This window comes from Homo sapiens, chromosome 10, assembly GCF_000001405.40.
Source record: "Homo sapiens chromosome 10, GRCh38.p14 Primary Assembly".
Taxonomy (NCBI): domain Eukaryota; kingdom Metazoa; phylum Chordata; class Mammalia; order Primates; family Hominidae; genus Homo; species Homo sapiens.
Genome location: NC_000010.11, coordinates 125,702,851 through 125,725,229, shown reverse-complemented (window position 1 = coordinate 125,725,229; position 22,379 = coordinate 125,702,851). Strand labels below are relative to the sequence as shown.

Here is a 22,379-nt window from a genome sequence, read left to right as displayed (position 1 = left end):
ATTTTTTGAATAGTTTCATAAACACATACTCATTAAAAACATATCTTTCTGGGTCAATTCATACCACCTTTCTTTTGTTTTTTGTTTCCTAAAGGAAACCCGTCTTCCTCCTCCTAAGCCAGGCTGGGAGAGGTGAGTCTTCTCTATAACATGTTCCTTAGCAGCTGCAGTAGTTCCCACTTTGCACACTATATTGAAATGATCTGTGTATGTGTTTATAACCCCAAACAATGAACTGCTGAGGAGCAAGGCCTGTGATTTGTTCACTGTCACATCCCCGTGCCTAGGCTCATACTCACATGATGAACTAAACGGTGGTCTTTTCAAAGGAAAAAAGCACTTATTTTAAATGTCATTTACCTCACCATAATTTAATTTTCTTTATCAAAGCACTGTAGTAATATTCTTTAAAGACTGACCATGAACTATTTCTTGCCAGCCCAAGAAAAGTACAGATATGGAGGGTAGTTCTTGAGAAACTGCAACAATGTTATTATGTTTTTCAAAAGTATCCATTCTCAACATGTGGGAAAAACAGTCCTTACCAACATACAATTTGAGAATCTAGGCTAAAGAGCATCAATTAATTCTAATAACTACAGCCATGTGTCATTTAACAATGGGGATATATTCTGAGAAGCGCGTCATTAGGTGATTTTGTCCTGGTGTGAACATCGCAGAGTGTTACTTATAGAAACCTGGATGGTACAGCCTACTCCCTACCTAGGTCATACGGTATAGCCTATTGCTCCCAGGCTACAAATCTGTACATGTGACTGAAGTATTTGTGTATCTGAACACTGCAAATACAGTAAAAATACAGTATATTATAATCTTATGGGACCACCGGTATATGCAGTCCATCGCTGACTGAAACGTCATTATGGGAACATGACTGTATTTATTCATAGGAACAGCTTCTAATATTTTTCACATTTTCCAGTAGCTGTGTTTCCTGAGAATCTGTTTAAGGGAGACGTTAAAGGATTCTTAAAAATATTAAACTAGTCCCTTAAATTTCACAGTTTTTTTCACAACTTTCTTCATTGGCTTCATCTTTTTTCTTGTAAAAAAGAATCTGGCTGTTGGAATCAATAAAATAATTTTCTTCACCATTCTCATTCTCTTCTTTTTTCTTCATTCAAGCTTTTCTATCTTCAGTGAAACTTTCAATTTCTCGATTGTTGAAGTACTCAACTACATTTCCACTTTGGCCATTCTCTGAAACAAAATCGTATTTCTAGTGCTCTTAAGCTGTTAATGTTTTGTTGGATTTTTTCACAAAAGCATTACCTGAGACGATCTCATAAAGAGTTCTTGAATATCTAGCTCATCTAGTAAGAGAGTCCTTCCTATGCGGTGTACTGCCATGCTCACGTGCGACTTGCTGTAGGGAATTTTCAGGAGTTTTTTTATGTTCTTAAAAAATTAAGAGAAAAAATAGTTTAGAAAGACTGTTTTAGTGTGATTTGGAATCTTTTAAATTTTAGCTTCATTCATTTTAAAGCATAATAAACCTTATTTCCTTAAGGTTATACAAATAGAACTTTAAACAAAAAGCTACATGCAAACACACAGAGGACGGAGCTTTCAAACCAGAATCACGTACACTTTATGAGTCACATTATGTTAGTGACAGTCAAACATTTATTTTTACATGATAGGATTTCTTAAAGTTAAGGGTGTATACGTCACACTGTTATGCTGACCCAGGCTTTTAGCATATCAGATCAAAGCCACTAAGGATCCAATAGATTTTACTAGAAATATCATTTGTAACTCAACTGGTAACATATACAGAATAATCCCAAACACTATTATCAGTTTCAATTACTATCATTAAAATATAACCATCAATATATTATTACCACTGCCAGTGTTTGGGGATTGATTATTCCTTCCTCTTTAAATACAAATGTGGTAAACAATGATACTTTAACAACAAAAAAGATACTCAATAATCAGGTAAGTTTTATCTTATTTCATCACTAATTTCTCAAGACTTGCACATTTATATTATGCAAAACACAGCATGATATAAAACACCTATCACAAAACACCTCCAAAATTACATTAAGCGACAAATAACACTTACTTCAGAGTCAGAGACAACATCCACATCATTTCCCACTGAATCAATAAAGTCATATGCCATGCCAAAGCTACCAAAGAGAAAAAAGGACACAGGTTATGAGGTCATGCTCATAATCATGCAAGTAGAGCTTAATAACAATACTGTAGCTCATTGCTTCTAGGATACACATTTTCCACATTTTAACAACTCTGAAACCAGGATGTGTATCACCATCACAGTTGGCAAGTTTTTTTTTCTTAGTGGTACTAAAATAATGGTGTGTCTTAAAGTCAATGGCATCTTAGATTTGATAAAACATGGTAATAATCATTAGAAGCATCCAGTAGGAAATATTTAGAATAAAAACAATTATTCTTTATTTTTGTAATCACAAAACTCAAAGTCTCCAAGGGAAAATAGTTCAAAACTTTATTCTTTTTAGGTGGAGAGATAAGAAAAACAGAAACAGAAACATTTATCAGGATTTTACTTTCTGAGATTGTGTTTCTAGTGATATACAATACCTCTTAAAAAAATACATGAAAAAAATGTACCTGACACCAATTCAGCCACAAAAGGAAATTAAAAAAAAATGTTAATTGAGCAGCCAACTGATGCCACGTACCACCTGAAGCACATCTATAGTCTATAAGCCTGAAAGGTACCCGACATCACCATGTTCCAACTACTAAATGGCAGAGTCAGGACACTTACCAAGGACTACCTAACAGCAAAGCATGCTTTGTGATTTACTGTATGCTTGAGCCAAATTATTTAGCTCTTCTCAGCTTCCGTTTTCTCAGGTGCAATATAATTAACAGTGCCTATCTCAAAGAGTTGTTGTGAGAATTAAATGAGATAAGCATATAAATACTTGCCACAGCATTTGTATAGAGTCAATATAATTATTCAAATTTCCTCACAACATTTAATTATGTTGACAAATCACAACTGATTAAGCCATTCTTTTAAAAAATGATATTTGGGTTATTCCCAACTTTTTGCTCCTATAAATGATGCTACAAACAAACAGCATTTTTGCAAATATAACTTTTATTTTCTGAGGCTTTAGGATAATTTCCAAAATACCAGCTCATAAAGTATTAGTGTATTTGTGCCTCTTGCTACAAGTTACATGGAAATATTTTAGATTGAGTTGCTGAGAAGGGGGAAGAAGAAAAGAGAACCCTACACATTAAATGTCCTACAGTATGTACATTAATACATTTTTCTCTATAAGACCTCAGGCTACTCTCTCAACTTTGAACACCATCAGTTCTGGTGTCAAAGTCAAGGTGTAGGTCACCCAACATGCTGGGTTTTTAAATCTGGCTTTTCCAGATCAACCTGCCACCATTTAATGAAAAACTCCACAGGAAAGATGAAGGAATGTTCAAGGTTTTCCTCCTCATGCACCAAGCTGATCCTTTGTATTCACATATCCAAAAGGTATGCAAATTGGCTAAAATGAAAGGGCTGATTGAACTTTGGCAGTCAAAACTCATCTTTGCTGATAACATGACGTAGACTTAAAAGAAGCATATGCAATTGATATTGTATGTATATCTTCATGTTTTAACATCATCTATTATCAGAATAAAAAGCCTTTGAAAATCAAATGTGATCTTTCTCTAAAGAGAAATCTCGACAAGTTAATAGGCATTACAAACTGAATTTAAAAGCAAATAAGAGTTTTAAGTGAGGGTGGAGGGGCAGGTAAAAATGCCACTGATTAATATTTACCTTGAAAATGGCTTGCTTTTCTTGCTGTTGCCAAGAATGGTAGTTCCTGCTGGCCCTAGTTTGGCACTCTCTCGTAACCAGTTGGCAGGTGGGAGTTTCAAGTCTGTTTTCTCTTCAAGGCGTGCAAATGCTGTTCGAGGAGGGGCAGAAGAGTATTTCACCACAGCTCGGCTCTTCACTTCATTGCCTCCAAGAAATAAAGCTGATCCCTAATTAACACATTGGGTGAAACTTTAATGAAAATTACTAAGAACGAAAAATCTCACCTTTATAAAAAGAAAACAAGAACCTGTCACACCAGGCTTCACAAGGAACGTATGCCACATGTTACTAACAGCACTTAATAAATTTGAGCATAAATGGTAACATTTACTTAGTTCTTTTACACCAACTTCAAAGAAAAAAGATGAGTCAAGGAGTATGATGGTTATGGTTATCAGCTAGAAAATGGACCACCCACATCTCTTTTAAAATGTATTCATGTAAAGTGGAGAAGCAGAAACCAAGGAGACTCAATGGTATCATGTTAACTAGATGCAAACTTTAGTAAAGCCTATTTTCAGTATTAAAGATGTATTTTAATTCTTTTTTTTTTTTTTTTTGAGACGCAGTCTTGCTTTGTCGCCCAGGCTAGGGTGCAGTGGAGCAATCATGGCTCACTGCAACCTCGGCTTCTGGGGTTTACGCCATTCTCCTGCCTCAGCCTCCCTAGTAGCTGGAATTACAGGCGTGCACTACCACGTCCGGCTAATTTTTGTATTTTTAGTAGAGACAGGGTTTTGCCATGTTGGCCAGGCTGGTCTCGAACTCCCCGACCTCAGGTGATCCACCCACCTCGGCCTCCCAAAGTGCTAGGATTACAGGCGTGAGCCACCGCGCCCGGCCAAAGATGTATTTTAATTTTAATAACACATCATTCATAAAATAGTCTGGTAGAACATTTGGGCTTTTTGTTTTAATGCAAATATTTAGTAATCGATGCATCGGTTCATGCATGCATGCATGGTTCAAATACTCTTGAGTCTCTAACTTCATAGAAAGGCATTGGGGGTTCGTTCCTCACAGCCTGCACTTGCACACTCCCAAAGCAAGTTCGGCGTCTGGGTTCAATATTCTAACCTTTCACGCAGTACCTCTTCTGCATGGCAAACATTTTACACCCTTTGTGAATTAGTTCGGTCTCATTCTCGGCGAGTCACTACCTGGCACCGTTTCTTCCCTCCTGCTTTGCACGACTGTGCCACGTTTTGGAACGACATATTTACATGTACCCTCCTTGAGAGGAAAGATCGTATCTAATTCACCTGTCGGCTACCAGAACTGCTTTTAATACGAATACCTGCCGACTGGAGCATGGACTTCAACTCCCTGTTTTGGGGGTGTCAGGGAAACATGGAGAAGCCTCCAGAATCTGCCGGGAACCGTGGCATCCCTCCCCGGTGGAGCGGGTCCTCCGCTCCCACATCCCTGGCAGGTCCCCCTCCGCGGAGGACTCACCTGTGCAGAAGATTCCTCGGATTCTCCCTGGGACAGGAGGCTGAGCCCTCCTCGAGCGGCGGCCCCGGCCGGCGGACCCTCGGCTCCGGCCTCCTTGGCATCCCCCATCACTTCGATCCAGGGCAGGCGATACGACGGGGGAGCGGAGGAGCAGCAGCAGCAACGCAGGCCCAAAGCAGGGTAAGCGCCAGAGACGCTCCGCGGACCGCACTTCCGGTCTCTGCCAGGAAGAAGTAGCTGTGACTCGCCATTAAATCTCGCGATCTTTGTCCCGAAGGCCCGGCCCCGCCTCCCGCTGCGGGTGCCACCTTCGCGGCCAGGGCGGGAATTGTAGTGCGCCTGCGCTTGTCCGAACCTCTTCGGGAGACTACTTCTCGCGGTATCTGACTCCTAGGCTCCGCCCTCTGCACGCCGCTCACGGTATCTGACGCTCAGGCTCCGCCCCCTGCATGTCTTTGTTGGCAAACAGTTCTGGGGGTCGTCCGATCCTGCAGGTAGTGTCCGCGTGGGAGGGGAGGTGCAGCCGTCAGCGCTGCCGGCGGCTCCCGTTACGTGAATTAGTGAGAGGTTCAAACTTCTTCCCCAGGCTTCAGTGTCACATCTTTTCACACGGGCACCCCGAGGGCCCGGACTGGAAAGGCGAGCCAGCCATCTCGAGACTGGGCGCTCCTGCCCGCCTTTTAGTGCCCATGTGGCCCCATCCTGGGTGTGGGAGCGGCGGGGCTTCCGGGGAGGGCGCTGGGACGCGCGGACGAGGCCCTCCCCGTTTAGGGAATGGGTGGCTTTCGGAGTCTTCTGGGGGCCCGGCATGCCCGCTGCTTGCGGGGCGTCCCAGGTGGTGCAGGACCCGTGAGACGCTGAACCTGGGGCCTCGTAACGCCTAGGTTTCCATTCGGGCGCTCTGGATGGGTCCGAGACTCGGCATTTCTCACAGGTTCCCAGGAAACGATGCCAGCGCTTTGAGTAGCGAAGAGGTGGAGAAATAGCCCGGGCCGTTTGCAAGCTTTGAAGGTCCAGGCTCTCTTTCACACTCCTCAGTGTCATCTCAAACTGTCAAACGCAGCCACATCCGTTATACAATACATGTTTTGTAGTAAAAGTGTTTTGTTGTGCCGTAAGATACAGAAAGTGTTTTTAAAAATTAACTTGGCTCTTGCAATTTGGCTGTCTCAATTTGTAATTCACGTTTGGCTCTTACAACTCACTGTCCTGTCCGTTTTCAGGAATGCTCCTGATGAGTAAGCATTCAACTCACAAATTGCTTTCAAATGTAACAAAACAATTTTATGAATTAAATTTAACAGGCCGGGCGCGGTGGCTCACGCCTTTAATCCCTGCACTTTGGGAGGCCGAGGTGGGCAGATTGCCTGAGGTCAGGAGATCGAGACCAGCCTGACGAACAGGGTGAAACCCCATCTCTACTAAAAATACAAAAATTAGCCAGATGTGGTGGTGGGCGCCTGTAATCCCAGCTACTAGGGAGGCTGAGGCAGGAGAATCGCTTGAACCTGGGAGGCAGAGGTTGCAGTGAGCAGAGATGGCAACACTGCGCTCCAGCCTGGGCGATAGTGAGACTCTGTCTTAAAAAAATAATAATAGTGAATTAAATTTAACAGTTAATTTGATATAATAGTGTATTTTGTAGACATTTACTTCAACATGTATTGATTTTGATTTTTATCATTTCATTTGAATATTGCAGCCAATAATTCTTTTTTGGTTTTTGCAAGTTATGCATTGTTTTTTATGGTGAAAAGTTGAACATAATATCTAACACTAGGAGGAGGATAGTCAAATTTGGTTTTGGTAGAAAATAAACCCTGTGCAACCATAAACTTGTTTTTCAGGAATATTTAAGAACATTTAAATTGCATATCATATAATGTTAAGTGATAAGTGAAATTTTAAAAAGCCAATATGCAGCCTAGCGCGGTGGCTCACGCCTGTAATCCCAGCACTTTGGGAGGCAGATGCGGGTGGATCACGAGGTCAGGAGATCGAGACCATCCTGGCTAACACGGTGAAACCCCGTCTCTACTAAAAATACAAAAACAAAATTAGCCAGGTTTGGTGGCAGGCACCTGTAGTCCCAGCTACTCAGGAGCCTGAGGCGGGAGAATGGTGTGAACCCAGGAGACGGAGCTGGCAGTGAGCCGAGATTGCACCACTGCACTCCAGCCTGGGCAGCAGAGCGAGACTCCGTATAAAAAAAAAAAAGCCAATGTGCAATATGATCTTAATTTTAAAAACGTCTCCATTTCTGTCTCTGTGTCCACAAAACAGACCTCTGAGCCGTAAAATGAAGTGATTTAAAATTTATTCTTTACATTTATTGATTTGCATATATTGAACTAGCCTTGCATCCCAGGGATGAAGCCCACTTGATCATGGTGGATAAGCTTTTTGATGTGCTGCTGGATTCGGTTTGCCAGTATTTTATTGAGGATTTTTGCATCAATGTTCATCAAGGATATTGGTCTAAAATTCTCTTTTTTGGTTGTGCCTCTGCCCGGCTCTGGTATCAGGATGATGCTGGCCTCATAAAATGAGTTGGGAGGATTCCCTCTTTTTCTATTGATTGGAATAGTTTCAGAAGGAATGGTACCAGTTCTTCCTTGTACCTCTGGTAGAATTCGGCTGTGAATCCATCTGGTCCTGGACTCTTTTTGGTTGGTAAGCTATTGATTATTGCCACAATTTCAGAGCCTGTTATAGGTCTATTCAGAGATTCAACTTCTTCCTAGTTTAGTCTTGGGAGGGTGTATGTGTCGAGGAATTTATCCATTTCTTCTAGATTTTCTAGTTTATTTGCATAGAGGTGTTTGTAGTATTCTCTGATGGTAGTTTGTATTTCTGTGGGATCGGTGGTGATATCCCCTTTATCATTTTTTATTGCATCTATTTGATTCTTCTCTCTTTTCTTCTTTATTAGTCTTGCTAGCAGTCTATCAGTTTTGTTGGTCCTTTCAAAAAACCAGCTCCTGGATTCATTAATTTTTTGAAGGGTTTTTTGTGTCTCTATTTCCTTCTGTTCTGCTCTGATTTTAGTTATTTAAACAGAACCAAAGACAAAAACCACATGATTATCTCAATAGATGCAGAAAAGTCCTTTGACAAAATTCAACAACTCTTCATGCTAAAAACTCTCAATAAATTAGGTATTGATGGGCTGTATCTCAAAATAATAAGAGCTATCTATGACAAACCCACAGCCAATATCATACTGAATGGGCAAAAACTGGAAGCATTCCCTTTGAAAACTGGCACAAGACAGGGATGCCCTCTCTCACCACTCCTATTCAACATAGTGTTGGAAGTTCTGGCCAGGGCAATTAGTCAGGAGAAGGAAATAAAGGGTATTTAATTAGGAAAAGAGGAAGTCAAATTGTCCCTGTTTGCAGATGACATGATTGTATATCTAGAAAACCCCATTGTCTCAGCCCCAAATCTCCTTAAGCTGATAAGCAACTTCAGCAAAGTCTCAGGATACAAAATCAATGTACAAAAATCACAAGCATTCTTGTACACCAATAACAGACAAATAGAGAGCCAAATCATGAGTGAACTCCCATTCACAATTGCTTCAAAGAGAATAAAATACCTAGGAATCCAACTTACAAGGGACGTGAAGGACCTCTTCAAGGAGAACTACAAACCACTGCTCAATGAAATAAAAGAGGATACAAAGAAATGGAAGAACATTCCATGCTCATGGGTAGGAAGAATCAATATCGTGAAAATGGCCATACTGCCCAAGGTAATTTACAGATTCAATGCCATCCCCATCAAGCTACCAATGACTTTCTTCACAGAATTGGAAAAAACTACTTTGAAGTTCATATGGAACCAAAAAAGAGCCCGCATTGCCAAGTCAATCCTAAGCCAAAAGAACAAAGCCGGAGGCATCACACTTCCTGACTTCAAACTATATTACAAGGTTACAGTAACCAAAACAGCATGGTGGTACCAAAATAGAGATATAGATCAATGGAACAGAACAGAGCCCTCAGAAATAACGCCGCATATCTACAGCTATCTGATCTTTGACAAACCTGAGAAAAACAAGCAATGGGTAAAGGATTCCCTATTTAATAAATGGTGCTGGGAAAACTGGCTAGCCATATGTAGAAAGCTGAAACTGGATCCCTGCCTTACACCTTATACAAAAATCAATTCAAGATGGATTAAAGACTTAAAACGTTAGACCTAAAACCATAAAAACCCTAGGAGAAAACCTAGGCATTACCATTCAGGACATAGGCATGGGCAAGGACTTCATGTCTAAAACACCAAAAGCAATGGCAGCAAAAGCCAAAATTGACAAATGGGATCTAATTAAGCTAAAGAGCTTCTGCACAGCAAAAGAAACTACCATCAGAGGGAACAGGCAACCTACAAAATGGGAGAAAATTTTCGCAACCTACTCATCTGACAAAGGACTAATATCCAGAATCTACAATGAACTCAAACAAATTTACAAGAAAAAAACAACCCCATCAAAAAGTGGGCGAAGGACATGAACAGACATTTCTCAAAAGAAGACATTTATGCAGCCAGAAAACACATGAAAAAATGCTCACCATCACTGGCCATCAGAGAAATGCAAATCAAAACCACAATGAGATACCATCTCACACCAGTTAGAATGGCAATCATTAAAAAGTCAGGAAACAACAGGTGTTGGAGAGGATGTGGAGAAATTGGAACACTTTTACACTGTTGGTGGGACAGTAAACTAGTTCAACCATTGTGGAAGTCAGTGTGGCGATTCCTCAGGGATCTAGAATTAGAAATACCATTTGACCCAGCCATCCCATTACTGGGTGTATACCCAAAAGACTATAAATCATGCTGCTATAAAGACACATGCACACGTATGTTTATTGCGGCACTATTCACAATAGCAAAGTCTTGGAACCAACCCAAATGTCCAACAATGATAGAATGGATTAAGAAAATGTGGCACATATACACCATGGAATACTATGCAGCCATAAAAAATGATGAGTTCATATCCTTTGTAGGGACATGGATGAAATTGGAAATCATCATTCTCAGTAAACTGTCGCAAGGACAAAAAAACAAACACCGCATGTTCTCACTCATAGGTGGGAATTAAACAATGAGAACACATGGACACAGGAAGGGGAACATCACACTCTGGGGACTGTTGTGGGGTGGGGGGAGGGGGGAGGGATAGCATTAGGAGATATACCTAATGCTAAATGACGAGTTAATGTGTGCAGCACACCAGCATGGCACATGTATACATATGTAACTAACCTGCGCATTGTGCACATGTACCCTAAAACTTAAAGTATAAGAATAAATTAAAATAAAATAAAATTTATTCTTTAATATTTTCTTTTCCTATTTTTATTTCTGATTATTATAATATGTAATTTTGTTAAGCTTTTACACACATACATAATTCAGCTTGTGATAATCTTTAAATTCTGTTGTTTTATTGTGTAATTCTATCTTTGTAAGAAAGAAATAGCAGTGATTCTTTTCTCAGGATTCAAATATTTTGCATGCTTCTTGAGAAGTGAGTGCCTAGACACGTGTTGATGATGCTTAGTGGGAAAATGTGCCGGAAATAGCTTGTGAAAAGACAAAGTATGAAACAGAACCAGGAAGTCAGCACAGAAAGAGAGGTTGGGAGCACACAGAGGATAATGGGAGCTCTAAGGGTGACCAGTGACCCTTAGGACTGACTGTGGAGGAAAGCCTGAGTCGGGGCTGGGTCTCCAGCAGCCACACACAGGACCAGGATTACAGTACTGTAATTTAGTTCGTAAAGGAGCATGATCCCTGGGGGCTGGAACAATTGGGCACATGTGGGTTACATAAAATTTATATATGCCTCTTGCTCTAAGGGCTTATTAATTTTTTCTTTTTCCCTAGTCAAACACTTTCACATGCTGCTGGAGCTCATAGTGGTCAGGAAAAATTTTAAAAATAAGTGGGGAAAAAAAACCCACTTTTACATGGTGTAGTGTTTTTTAAAAAGTTATTGTCACTGTTTTTAATATAGGAAGTTGAAATATTTTGTGGGAAAACATGGAGAATAAGACATTACTCTTAGAATTTCAAGTTTTCAGACACGAATTGATTTTCATTTTTATATTGTACCAGTGTCTGCCTGTTTCCTCCATCTCTGTCCTCCTGCCCCAGGGACCCACTTGGGATGTACCCCATCATCCATGGCCTGCTCTGCCTTGTCTGTGTAGTTATCCTGGCTCTTGTAACTACCCATGGCTCTCACGTGTTTACTTGCCTCTTCAGTGCCTGATGCTCTAGCTACTAAGAGTGTTTGTTGAATGAATGAGCAGCATGCTTGTCTGCTGCTCCAGCTACTTGTTCCATAGCTCCACGTTTGCTGGTGCTTTCCTCTGCCTAAAATACCTTTTTCTTCCTCACCTGGCTTCTCTCCTGACACCTCTGCCTCCTTACCCCTCAGGGTTCCTTCCTTTGTTCCAGTCGCTTGTATTGCTTTATCCTGCACTTGTCACATTATAGAAAAATTACCTGTTTGTATCTGCCTCCCTCCCCGACTGTGAGCTCCTCAAAGGCTGGTGTCCCGTCTGATCACTGACACCAGGCACAGCACCCGGACAGAACTGTTTCAGCCCTTAGGCAACGGAGGGAAAATGACTGGGGTTGACAGGCTTTTAAAATGCTCATCAAAATGTTTGAGACATAAAAACAATGTTGTTGGCTCCAAAATATTTTTTTAATCTGCAAAATCAAAGCTAAAAATGTTTAATGAAGTAGCTCCAAAATACTGCAATGTCAATGTCATTAATTATTAAAGTTAGTATTGACATACAGTTTGTTTCATTCTAAAACAATTTGTAGATTAGACTTTCTCAGCAAAAATCCTCCCAGCATGCAGTGATTTCTGAGAAATCCCAGTCATTTGTAAATTCATGTAGTTATTTGTATAGTTTCCAAAACTTTTACAGCAAGACATTCATAAGTAAGGCAAATGTGGTTGGGGCTCCTGCCGAAAGTACGAGTGCCCAGGGTACTCACGGTTCTTCTCTAGCCCCACTGGCAGAGCATGACAAACTTGAAAACCTTCTAAACTCAGGGACCATTTGGGGAATATCCTTTTCAGTTTGCCCTGGGCCCTTCCACAACCTAATGTCTTACCCCTAACCAGCCTCATTTGTTTACTTTCTGGACCTTAGAAGGTTCTGAATTTCTGGCTCCTGATCCTGGACTTTTAGAGCTGAAAGAGAGATTTGAGGTTGTCTGAGCCAATCTCTTTCCTCTTTAGATGAGAGCAATGCAGTCCAGAAAGGAGAATAGGATTGACTTGTTGAACATCATACAAAGTTAGGACTAGTACCCAGGTCTCCTACTTACTTAGCTTTCTAAAAAGTCAAATAGTAGACATAGGCCAGTGGAATTTGAAGTTGTCTCATAATCACCTGAGGAACTTGTTTAGCAAACAGATCCTGCAGCCACCTCCAGAATCTAGTATCTCTGGGGTAGTGCTGATTAGTCTACATTTTTAGTGCAATTGTTAAGTTTCTGACAACCTTGCCCTGTAGACTACACCTTTGGACAGTGGTCTCCAAAGACAGTCCCCTGAGGTGCAGGAAGACTAACTTTTTTTTTTAATATGAAAAGTAAGGGCAAAATTAAGCTTTACTAGTATGTAATATACAGATTGACACAGGTGCTCTTCCTTGGGCCATGGTGAGCTAGTCAAATAAGATTGGGCTATGCTGACAAAACAAATGATCCCTAAGTGTCAGTGGCTTACAACTGGGTTAGCCAGAGAAAGAACAGGACGCAAAGTTAAATTTGAATTTCAGATAAACGGTGAAAAAATTTTTAGGATGAGAATGTCCCAAATATTTAGCATAAGTATGTCCCATCTGATGAAGCAGCTTCAATCTGGAGCATTGCCAGTTGCAGTAGCAGAGAGACAAAAAGAGATTGGTGCATTGCAGACTAGCTACAAAGGCTTTTGGTCAGAAGTGGCAAACATCACTGTCATTCACCTTTTTTTGGCCAAATAAATCACATAGCCAAGCCAAGCATACATGTGGCAGGGGAGACTGGATCCTAAGGAGGAATGTTGGTTATCCGTAACCATTATGCAGTCTACCACAGGCATATATGGTGGCTTGGATAGGCTATTGGGTGCCATTCACAAGGCTAAATTTGGTGAAAAAACAAGGCCTTTTGCAGAATCTTTTCAGAGTTTTGTGATGAGGGATGTCTTAGTCTGTTTTGCATCATGATAACAGAATACCTAAGATTGGGTAATTTATTTTTAAAAAAGGTTGATTTAGTTCATGGTTCTGCAGGCTGGGAAGTTCAAGCACATGGCTCTAGCTTCTGGTGAGAGGTTTCAGGCTGCGTCATAATATGGCAGAGAAGATCAATGGGTAAATGGACATGTGTGAAGAAAGGCAAAACCAGGTGGGTGTTCTGACTTCATAATAACCCACTCTTGCAGGAACTAACCAATTCCTGAGAGAACTAATCCAGTCTTGCCAGAGCAAGAACTCACTGCCATGAGAACAGCACCAAGCCACCCAAGAGGACAGAGCCCTCATGACCTGAACTCCTCCCATTAGGCCCCAACCCCCAACACTACCACAATGAGATCAAATTTCAGCATGAGTTTGGTGGGGACGTATATATATCCAGACCACAGCAAGGAGCGACCTTGAAAATCTTGTACCACACAGAGATCACAGATCATCAGTGGTAAAGCATTCAAAAGAATTGTCAAGCTTGAAAATGAGTTAGTTACTATATTTTCTTTTATAAGGAGTGTTCTACATTTTCTCATCTGTGATGACATGAAGCTGTCATTAGGATGATACCCAGGAGAAAGTTTCACAAAAACAAACAGACTCAATCTCTTTCTTCAAAACAAAGGTGATATTTTAACAATGAGTGGGAAAGTATTTGGGTTTTATTTATTTTTTTTTTTTTGAGACAGAGTTTTGCTCTTGTTGCTCAGGCTGGAGTGCAGTGGCGCTATCTCGGCTCACTGCAACCTCTGCCTCCTGGGTTCAAGCAATTCTCCTGCCTCAGCCTCCTGAGTAGCTAGGATTACAGGTGCCTGCCACCATGCCTGGCTAATTTTTTGTATTTTTAGTAGAGACGGGGTTTCACCATGTTGGCCAGGCTGGTCTCGAACTCCTGACCTCAGGTGATCCACCCACCTCGGCCTCCCAAAATGCTGGGATTACAGGCATGAGCCACTGCGCCCGGCCAGTATTTGGTTTTCAAAAGAATCTTATGGAGAGCATTTTTGAAAGTAGATGTTTGGAAATCTTTCCAACATTATGTGATTTTTGTCTCTAAAAATGATGTATATTGCTTATAAAAACTCATATCTGCACACTTATCTTAGAAACTGAAATTCCTAACCTCTTTTAGAAATCTTCCAAATGGAGAGGTTGAGTTTTAAATATATTGAGGAATTCTAAGGAGGACAGTGGCGCAGTTCTGGCTTACTTAAGGCGTGCGAAGGGAAGAGAGCCAGCAGAGCTCGTCCAGAGGCAGCAAGCCTCATATGCTCCTCAGCCATACCATCAGGGGGTTCGAAAAATCTGTCCACACTTAATTGTTTTCTTTGATACTAGTTGTCCTACCCAGAACGCCCAGACTGATCTCTTTATCAGCTGCCAACTGATTTGTTTACCCCAAAAATATGCCTGCAAGATTCACGATTCCCAGGCTGCCAGCAGGTTTTTCTCTCTCCTATCTGTTATACATCCTGTTTTGAATTTTGTTCCATGACAACAGTCTATTGACCTTTCTTCTTGTACAAGTAAACAAATTGCATATAAAACAACTAACTAAAAATCTCTGAGTTATTCCTTGATACTGTTTAATTGGTTTGTTAAAAAAAAGACTGATGGACTTCAAAGAAGATGGAAATTTAACTAATTAAATTTCAGTTAAAACCTGTGCGTGATTTGTGCATACAACCGAAATGAGCAGTTTGATTTAGTAAACCCTGAGACCGGGTGATTTTTTCAAGTAGGCTTGCTTATCTTTTGAGATATTTTAAGTGACGACAGCCATTAAAACCACATTTTAAAATAAACTTGACTTGGAAGGAGACCTCAAACTGTTACACCACAAAGTTTTCAACAAAGATTCTCAAAAATAAAAGAAGCCTATTCAGCAGTTTTGCTCTTTTAAAAAATATTAATGAAAATAGAACTAATTATCAGTCAATAAATTAAAATGTTACATTGTTTTCTACTTGTTTAATGTCAATGTATTAGTGACAGTATATCATTTACAAATAAATACATATTGGGGTTGCATGTTCAGAATTTTTTTTAAATTTTAATATTTTTAGAGACCGTCCAGGCTGGACTTGAACTCCTTCCTCGGCTGAAGTGATCCTCCTGCCTCAGCGTCCTGAATAGGTAGGACTACAACTGTGAGTCACTTTACTCAACCAGAAATGGTGAATGATAAAAAATGTTTATAGATCATTGCTTCTAAAAAGACTATATTAGACACACTGTGGTACCCAAAACCAAATGCTAGCTACTTTTTAACTCAAAAATAATTAGTCAGCTAATGATCTATATTTTGCTTTACAGTTTAACTTGACGAGTAGAAAAATGTCAAGGTATAAGACAATGCAAAATGTAGGGACAAAGAAGAAAACTTCCCCTTTCACCCTCTGAAGGTTTGCTGAAAATGAACTGAAAAAGGCAGAGCAACAGGAGAAAAGGCATGCGTTTATTTTAACGTGCATACCATGGGGAATTGCAGAAGAGTAATGGCCTAATAACCCAGCAGGGTCCAGATGCCTGTCTACCCTCTCTTCTTAGGGAAGGCGGGGATGAGGTGTGTAGGAGTAAATGACAAAAGTTCCTCTGAGCTCTGGGGGAGGTGTTGGGAAGGTGAGGAGTGAAACGTCACCTTGCACAAAGGTTGTCAGACCTGCCCTCGAGAATAGATGAGTAGTCTATCTGGGTATAGTGACAACTCCGTCTCTTTGCTTCTTTCCTGGTCATTTGATGAGATTCCTAAAGATGGGGGGGGTGGTCTTAAGACAATTGCCTTTTTTTTTTTGGAAAGAAGCTTTGTTAGATAAGAAAATTCCAGAGAGTCAGTCCAGTCCCTCCAGGTGCTTCTAGAAAGAGGATCAGAGAAACAAGGAGGTAAGGAAAGTCAGAAAGAGAGCTTGGGTCTAAGGCTGATTTCTAAAACCTTCCGATTTTCAAAGTACTCGGCATGCCGAAGCACTATATTTTGGGGGATCATTTTCTGCACCCCAGCAAAACCTTAATATGTAATTTTCAGTGTAATAGCAAGACACCCTTGGTTATAGGTATCTGACATTGAATCATTAACTGATAATTATTTAATTGCTGCTCTGTAGATTCATAACAGGCAGAGTATTTGAAGTTATTGAAACTATTTCGACTGCATTTGAAGGAGTTTATTTTCTGGACACCTGATGAACTCAAATTCTTTTGCAAGCTCTTAGCATTGACTTTTGGGATATAATGCAAGTGACTGCAAGGGCAGACTGTCTCTGCTAGGTATCACTTTTGCAACAGAATTCTTCTTAGAGTGTTTGTGAGTTTTCCTCTGAAGCTGATTAATACCCTGAATGAATCCTAGGAAGAGTGTCAGAGTCACTAATGTCTGCTGTTCAGGCATGTCGGTGGCTGGAGCCCAGGCAGTTATTCATGCTGCATGTGCACCTTAAACTAAGGATGAGAAGGAAAGAATTCTCAAATGAACCTTCCAATCAATCTGATAGAGACTGCTTCTGAGTTCCCCTCTGCCTTTCCAGTTAAGGGCCTGACCTTTGCAGACTCTGGTGAGTCATTTAGCTATTAAACATTTACAAGGAGGCTTCCAATGGAGAGAACAAAAGGACAGCACTGCTTAGTGCAAAAGCATCAAGTGTCAAAGCCACTGACTGGACCTTTTTACTAAACATTTCTATAACATTTATCTTCCCTCAGGCATTGAAGAGAAATATATTTTACTTTCTCAGTGTAATGCAGTCACAAGGGACCCAGTAATAGAATCCATAGCTCGTGAATGTTAGGCAGAATGGTAACTACTGGATGAACCAAGGGTGTCATCCACATATGACAATTTTTTACGTATTTATTTACATGTTTTTTTTCTCTCTAGGAAGTGGAGCCAGAATCCACAGATGTCATTATCCATCTGCACACTTTGTTTACTACCCAGAAGGCAAGAATATTGCATTTTAAAAGTGCCCGGACTTTTGTTCTTTCTTATCACAAATGACTTGGGAAGCTCCGACCACTCATGTTTACCCCGAGTGAAAGTCCCATTCAAAGCCTTGCTTCCTGGAGAGCTTTGAGATTCTGGTACAAAAGGCATTTTATAAGCACAAAGTGGAAAAGCATCATTCATATTCATTTGCTGCTGCGGCATTTCTCCCTGGAATCTTCCTCTTGTCTGTCAACATTGGGCAAAAGGACTGGCCTCATCTACATTACAGATATCCTTGTGATGGTCTGGAGGTAGGAAAAGGACACCCAGCACAAGAGTGAGAAGGGAAACTCAAGCTCTCCTGTTGGAGAGTCTCAGGCTTCTTTATCCATAAAACTGATTGGACATAATTGGTGTGGGTTTATGATTTGTTTTGGAAAAACCTGAGTATGAAATCAATACTGTGCTTTGTGCATCTTGGCTGCAATGAGTGTTTTTTATGTGATTGCAGGGACCTGTGGGAGAGGCGGCCATCCAGAGGGCTCTCTGAGGGGTCATTTAGAATGCAACTCTTCTGGGCAGAGGATGGTCTGCACTGGCCTCCACCACGCAGGAAGGCTTCCAGAGTGGAGAAATGTCCACTAACATGGCTTCTGTGAGGTGTGGGCAGCTCTTTTCTTGGTGTGGGGCTCTGTTTGGTGTGATGTAAGAGGTATCACAGGGCTTTCCTGTCCCAGAAGATCTTAGTGGATGACACCTATGGGGGTTGCCAGCTGGATTAGGTGAGGCAGAGCACACAGCTCTACCTAAGGGGTCCCATTCTCATCTGGGAATATTCTAGGACATAGGACACTACCCAAGAGGCAGAGCCTGGAGTGGCATTATACGGGTGAAAGATCTGAGTGCCAGGTCCATATAAATGAGTGGGGTTGGGGGGATCGAGGTGCTTAGAGAACAGGAGAGCTGCCACAGGAAGGGATGGTACCCACAGGGAGGAAGAACCATGTCTCAGATTCCTTCCTTTATACCTCTTCCTGGGACCTCCTTGGAGTCTGCAGATCAGCTGGTGCTTCTCCATCTCCTGTCATCTTCTTCAAATCTTTTCATCACAAAAAATTTTCAGTGTAAACCTAAGTAGAGAGAACAGTAAAAGGAACCCCCAGGGGCCGTCACCATCACCCACCATCAACAGCGATCAATGGGCCGTCTAAGTCCGTTTTCCCTACTTTCATCCCCGCTCCAGATTATTATCAAAAGTAGCTCATCCCTAGTTATATTTCATTTAATCCTCTCAGTTGCATTTTTTTCTGGCCACGTTCTTCTGTCTGTCAATCATGGTCTTAAGTCAGACAGTCTGCTGGGTTGGCTAGGAAAAGACTCTTTCTTTCTCAAGAAAGAGTTGTAAGTAATTTTGAGAGAAATGTTGCAGATTGACCAAACAAGGTATGCTTAATTTAGTTCAATTCATCAGTTACTTATTGAGTCCTAGGCTTAGTGCTGGATTCAACATATCAGTCAATCATGGTTTCTGGCCTACAGGGTTCAGTGCTCTAGTTCTGGGTGTGCGACGAGGACCACAGCAAGTATTCACTCAGGAAAGGCAGAATGTGGCCACAGGGAAAGGAAAGGTACAAGGTGTGGTGGAGGTTACAAGGCATGACAAACACACTGGGCTGGGAATGGTAACAGTGGAAGAGGATCAGGAAGGGTCGTGAAGCCTGAGGCATTGGAGAGGGACTTGGAAACCTGGGCAGACAGTGGGACGGTGACTGCAAAACACTCAAGTGTGCAGGTGGGAATGGCAGTGGGGGACAGGCGAGCCTAGCAGCGAGAACACATGGTGCAAGGGGCCCCATGGGGGTTCTGGGGTGGAGGAGGTAGGCAATTGGGCTCTCAAAGAAACCCTTGGGCTTTTTCTAGCTTAATAATAAACAATTATTATTTCTAAGGAAAAAGAAAACTGGATTTCTAGAAGCATGGCTATTAAAAAAAAAACAACTCCAGACCCCAATTAGGAAACTGAAAGGAAATCAAAGTGGGCCTAATGGAAATTAGGTAGTAGGGGCAATAAAAGAAAATGCAGGTAGCTGCCTAAAATCCAGTGGACTCCAGGTCCACCAGCCAGGCACCACATTGTTTTAACCTATAAATGAAGTATGTCCATGACTCTCACTACATAAAATGGAAGTTAAGCCATAGTCCTTTTCCAATGTGATCTGAAAATGTACTGTTTTTGCCTCTAGCAAAGCAAATATATAGACAGAAAATTCCTAGCACTGCTTTCACGCGAGGGATGACAAAGGTGACAGACTCGGGCAAAATGTTCATATTCTATACGTGAAATGGAATGGTAACTTGATTTTTCAAAAGGATAAGATTCTTGTTACAAATTTAAGCATATTTATTAAAGAAAACTCAAATTAGTAAAATGTGAAAAGGCAAGGAAATTCATGGTCCCACTACCCAAATAACATTTTTTTTTCAGAATTTTGGTGTCATATAATGATTTTGGAACACGCTTTTCATACTGAATGGCTTCAATATCTTATCCCTGCTCTCTTCCACCGCCCCCCCCCCCCAATTCATTATGATTATCAATGAGTTTGGGGAATTGTATTGACTTTTTTTTTTTTTTTGAGACAGAGTCTCGCTCTGTCGCCCAGGCTGGAGTGCAGTGGCACGATCTCGGCTCACTGCAAGCTCCACCTCCCGGGTTCACACCATTCTCCTGCCTCAGCCTCCCAAGTAGCTGGGATTACAGGCGCCTGCCACCATGCTGGCTAATTTTTTTGTATTTTTAGTAGAGACGGGATTTCACCATGTTAGCCAGGATGGTCTCGATCTCCTGACCTCGTGATCTGCCCGCCTCGGCCTCCCAAAGTGCTGGGATTACAGGCGTGAGCCACCGCGCCCGGCCAGGGAATCGTATTGACTTTTTTAAGAGTCAATTCTCTTTTGAACTCAGATTTCAAAAGGGGTACAGGGAATCATCTCGATATAAGTGTTGATATAAAGTTTATTCTCAGATACTTGTGAAGCCAAAAACTCTGTGCTAACATTTGCAGGCCTTTGGGAAAACTGTGCATGGAGGTCTGAATAGCATATGTCCAAATAGTTGAAGTTTTTATAAATTAAGCTAACTCATTATTAAAGAAAATCTGTTCTAGCCTCCTTCCTTGATAAATACACCTTCATAACAGCTGCCCCTTGGAAGCTATTAAATATGTTATATCCTCTTGCCTTCATAACAGCTGTCCCTTGGCCACCCCTCTGGGTTGGGGTGCGTATGCCCAATCATCTTGGGGACAGGCCCTCAAAGCAGGCTTGGAGCCGTTAGGGCCGGTTCCCTGGAGCTCCACGTGCACCTGTCTTCTCACCCTATGTGGGGAGTGATGGTCAGAGGAGGGCCAGAGTGGAACCGCAGCCTCATGGGGCCCAGGGCAGGCACCTCTCTGGCTCTGGTCTGAGTGAATCATTCCATATTTCCCATGTGCAGGTCATGTGCTGGGTGCTGGGAACACAAAGGTGAGTAAAAGCCGTCCAGTGGGGGCACACAGACTTTCAAATAAGTGCCCCCTAAAATGTAAATTTGCAACTCTGAGTTGACTCAGTCAGGAAAGTTAGGAGGAGGTCACTTTGCAAAGAAGAAAAGAGAAGAGAATTTCAGGTGGAGAGAAAACTGGGCAAAGTCCTAGCAGCAGTGGAGAGCACAGCCAGAGTGAGGCATGAAAAGCTAAGAGGACATGGGGCTCAGGTGTGAGTTGGGCTGGACAGGCAGTGGGCACCAGATTAGGAAAGGCCTCTGTGGCCTTACTAGGAAACTAGGTCTATCCACGGTAAAAGGCTTTTAGCCAGGGGCCACATAATCAGGGGCAATGAGGCTAGACCAGGCTGCTAAATCAGTCCAGGCTAAAACTGTTCTTTTTCCCTTTTTTTTTTTTTTTTAAGAAAAGCAAAATATTAGACAAAGAAATGTGAAATATGTAAATATTAAGTAGACATTTGATAATATTAAGGAATTAATGTTTTCTGATAACAGTATTGTGTGTTTTTTTTAACTTTTATTTTAGGTTTGAGGGTACATGTAAGGATTTGTTACACAGGTAAATGCATGTCACTGGGTTTGTTGTACAGATTATTTCATCACCCAGGTATTAAGCCCAGTACCCAATAGTTACCTTTTCTGCTGTTTCCTTCATTGTGTTCATAAGTTCTTATCATTTAGCTCCTACTTATTTTTATTTTTTTGAGAGGGAGTCTCGCTCCGTCGCCCAGGCTGGAGTGCAGTGTTGCCATCTTGGCTCACTGCAAGCTCCGCCTCCCAGGTTCATGCCATTCTCCTGCCTCAGCCTCCCGAGTAGCTGGGACTACAGGCGCCTGCCACCGCACCCAGCTAATTTTTTTGTATTTTTGGTAGAGATCAGGTTTCACCTTGTTAGCCAGGATGGTCTCAATCTCCTGACCTCATGATCCGCCTGCCTCGGCTTCCCAAAGTGCTGGGATTACAGGCGTGAGCCACCACGCCTGGCCCATTCATCTCTCACTTATAAGTGAGAACATGCAATAGTTGGTTTTCTGTCCCTCCATTAATTTGCTAAGAATAATAATTTGCCTCTAGCTCCATCTGTGTTCCCACAAAAGCCATGAGCCCATTCCATTTTTATGGCTGCATAGTATTCCACGGTGAATATGTACCAGATTTTTAAATCCGATCTGTCATTGGTGGGCATTTAGGTTGATTCCATTAGACCTGATAATTCTTTGGAATAGTAGCGGAGAGGAGGAGATGGAGTGAGGCAGACAGGCTTCAGGGGGATGTAGAAAGTCAGATGGCCAGGGCTTTGGGTATGGATTGGGTTAG

At 41.6% G+C, this 22,379-nt stretch overlaps 1 protein-coding gene and 2 long non-coding RNA genes across 12 annotated transcripts in view, besides 3 other annotated features; 1 reads left to right on the top strand and 2 right to left on the bottom strand.

The window, feature by feature from the left end:
- Window positions 1-5,521, bottom strand: part of EDRF1 (erythroid differentiation regulatory factor 1) — a 44,431-nt gene extending 38,910 nt beyond the window's left edge. For all 10 annotated transcript variants that reach the window (NR_110859.2, NR_110858.2, NR_110857.2 and 7 more), the window contains exons 1-4: window positions 5,315-5,521; window positions 3,818-4,026; window positions 2,096-2,162; window positions 1,294-1,419 (exon numbers count right to left, since the gene is read on the bottom strand). Coding sequence is in view for 7 of the 10 variants with exons in the window: in NM_001202438.2 (NP_001189367.1) it covers window positions 1,294-1,419; window positions 2,096-2,162; window positions 3,818-4,026; window positions 5,315-5,422 (510 nt within the window). In the remaining 3 variants the exon portion in view is untranslated. The remainder of the gene's footprint in view (window positions 1-1,293; window positions 1,420-2,095; window positions 2,163-3,817; window positions 4,027-5,314) is intronic.
- Window positions 4,638-5,620: an enhancer, noted in NCBI's record as "H3K27ac hESC enhancer chr10:127408179-127409161 (GRCh37/hg19 assembly coordinates)". NCBI's record gives its function as "activates a minimal SCP1, AML or CMV promoter by ChIP-STARR-seq in primed H9 embryonic stem cells {active_cell/tissue: H9 hESC(primed)}" and the evidence as "EXISTENCE:reporter gene assay evidence [ECO:0000049][PMID:30033119]".
- Window positions 5,736-5,815: an enhancer, noted in NCBI's record as "active region_4194". NCBI's record gives its function as "activates an Ori minimal core promoter by ATAC-STARR-seq in GM12878 lymphoblastoid cells {active_cell/tissue: GM12878}" and the evidence as "EXISTENCE:reporter gene assay evidence [ECO:0000049][PMID:35858748]".
- On the top strand, window positions 5,737-19,940 carry EDRF1-DT (EDRF1 divergent transcript). The gene is made up of 5 exons (NR_033847.1): window positions 5,737-5,808; window positions 13,642-13,756; window positions 15,663-15,732; window positions 17,471-17,829; window positions 18,030-19,940. It is a non-coding gene; the product is annotated as an EDRF1 divergent transcript (long non-coding RNA).
- Window positions 6,296-6,405: an enhancer, noted in NCBI's record as "active region_4193". NCBI's record gives its function as "activates an Ori minimal core promoter by ATAC-STARR-seq in GM12878 lymphoblastoid cells {active_cell/tissue: GM12878}" and the evidence as "EXISTENCE:reporter gene assay evidence [ECO:0000049][PMID:35858748]".
- The window catches only part of LOC283038 (uncharacterized), a 26,435-nt gene continuing 19,608 nt past the window's right edge, over window positions 15,553-22,379 (bottom strand). Inside the window, exons 4-5 of the long non-coding RNA NR_033848.1 lie at window positions 18,547-18,648; window positions 15,553-18,275 (exon numbers count right to left, since the gene is read on the bottom strand). This is a non-coding gene — a long non-coding RNA (uncharacterized LOC283038). The remainder of the gene's footprint in view (window positions 18,276-18,546; window positions 18,649-22,379) is intronic.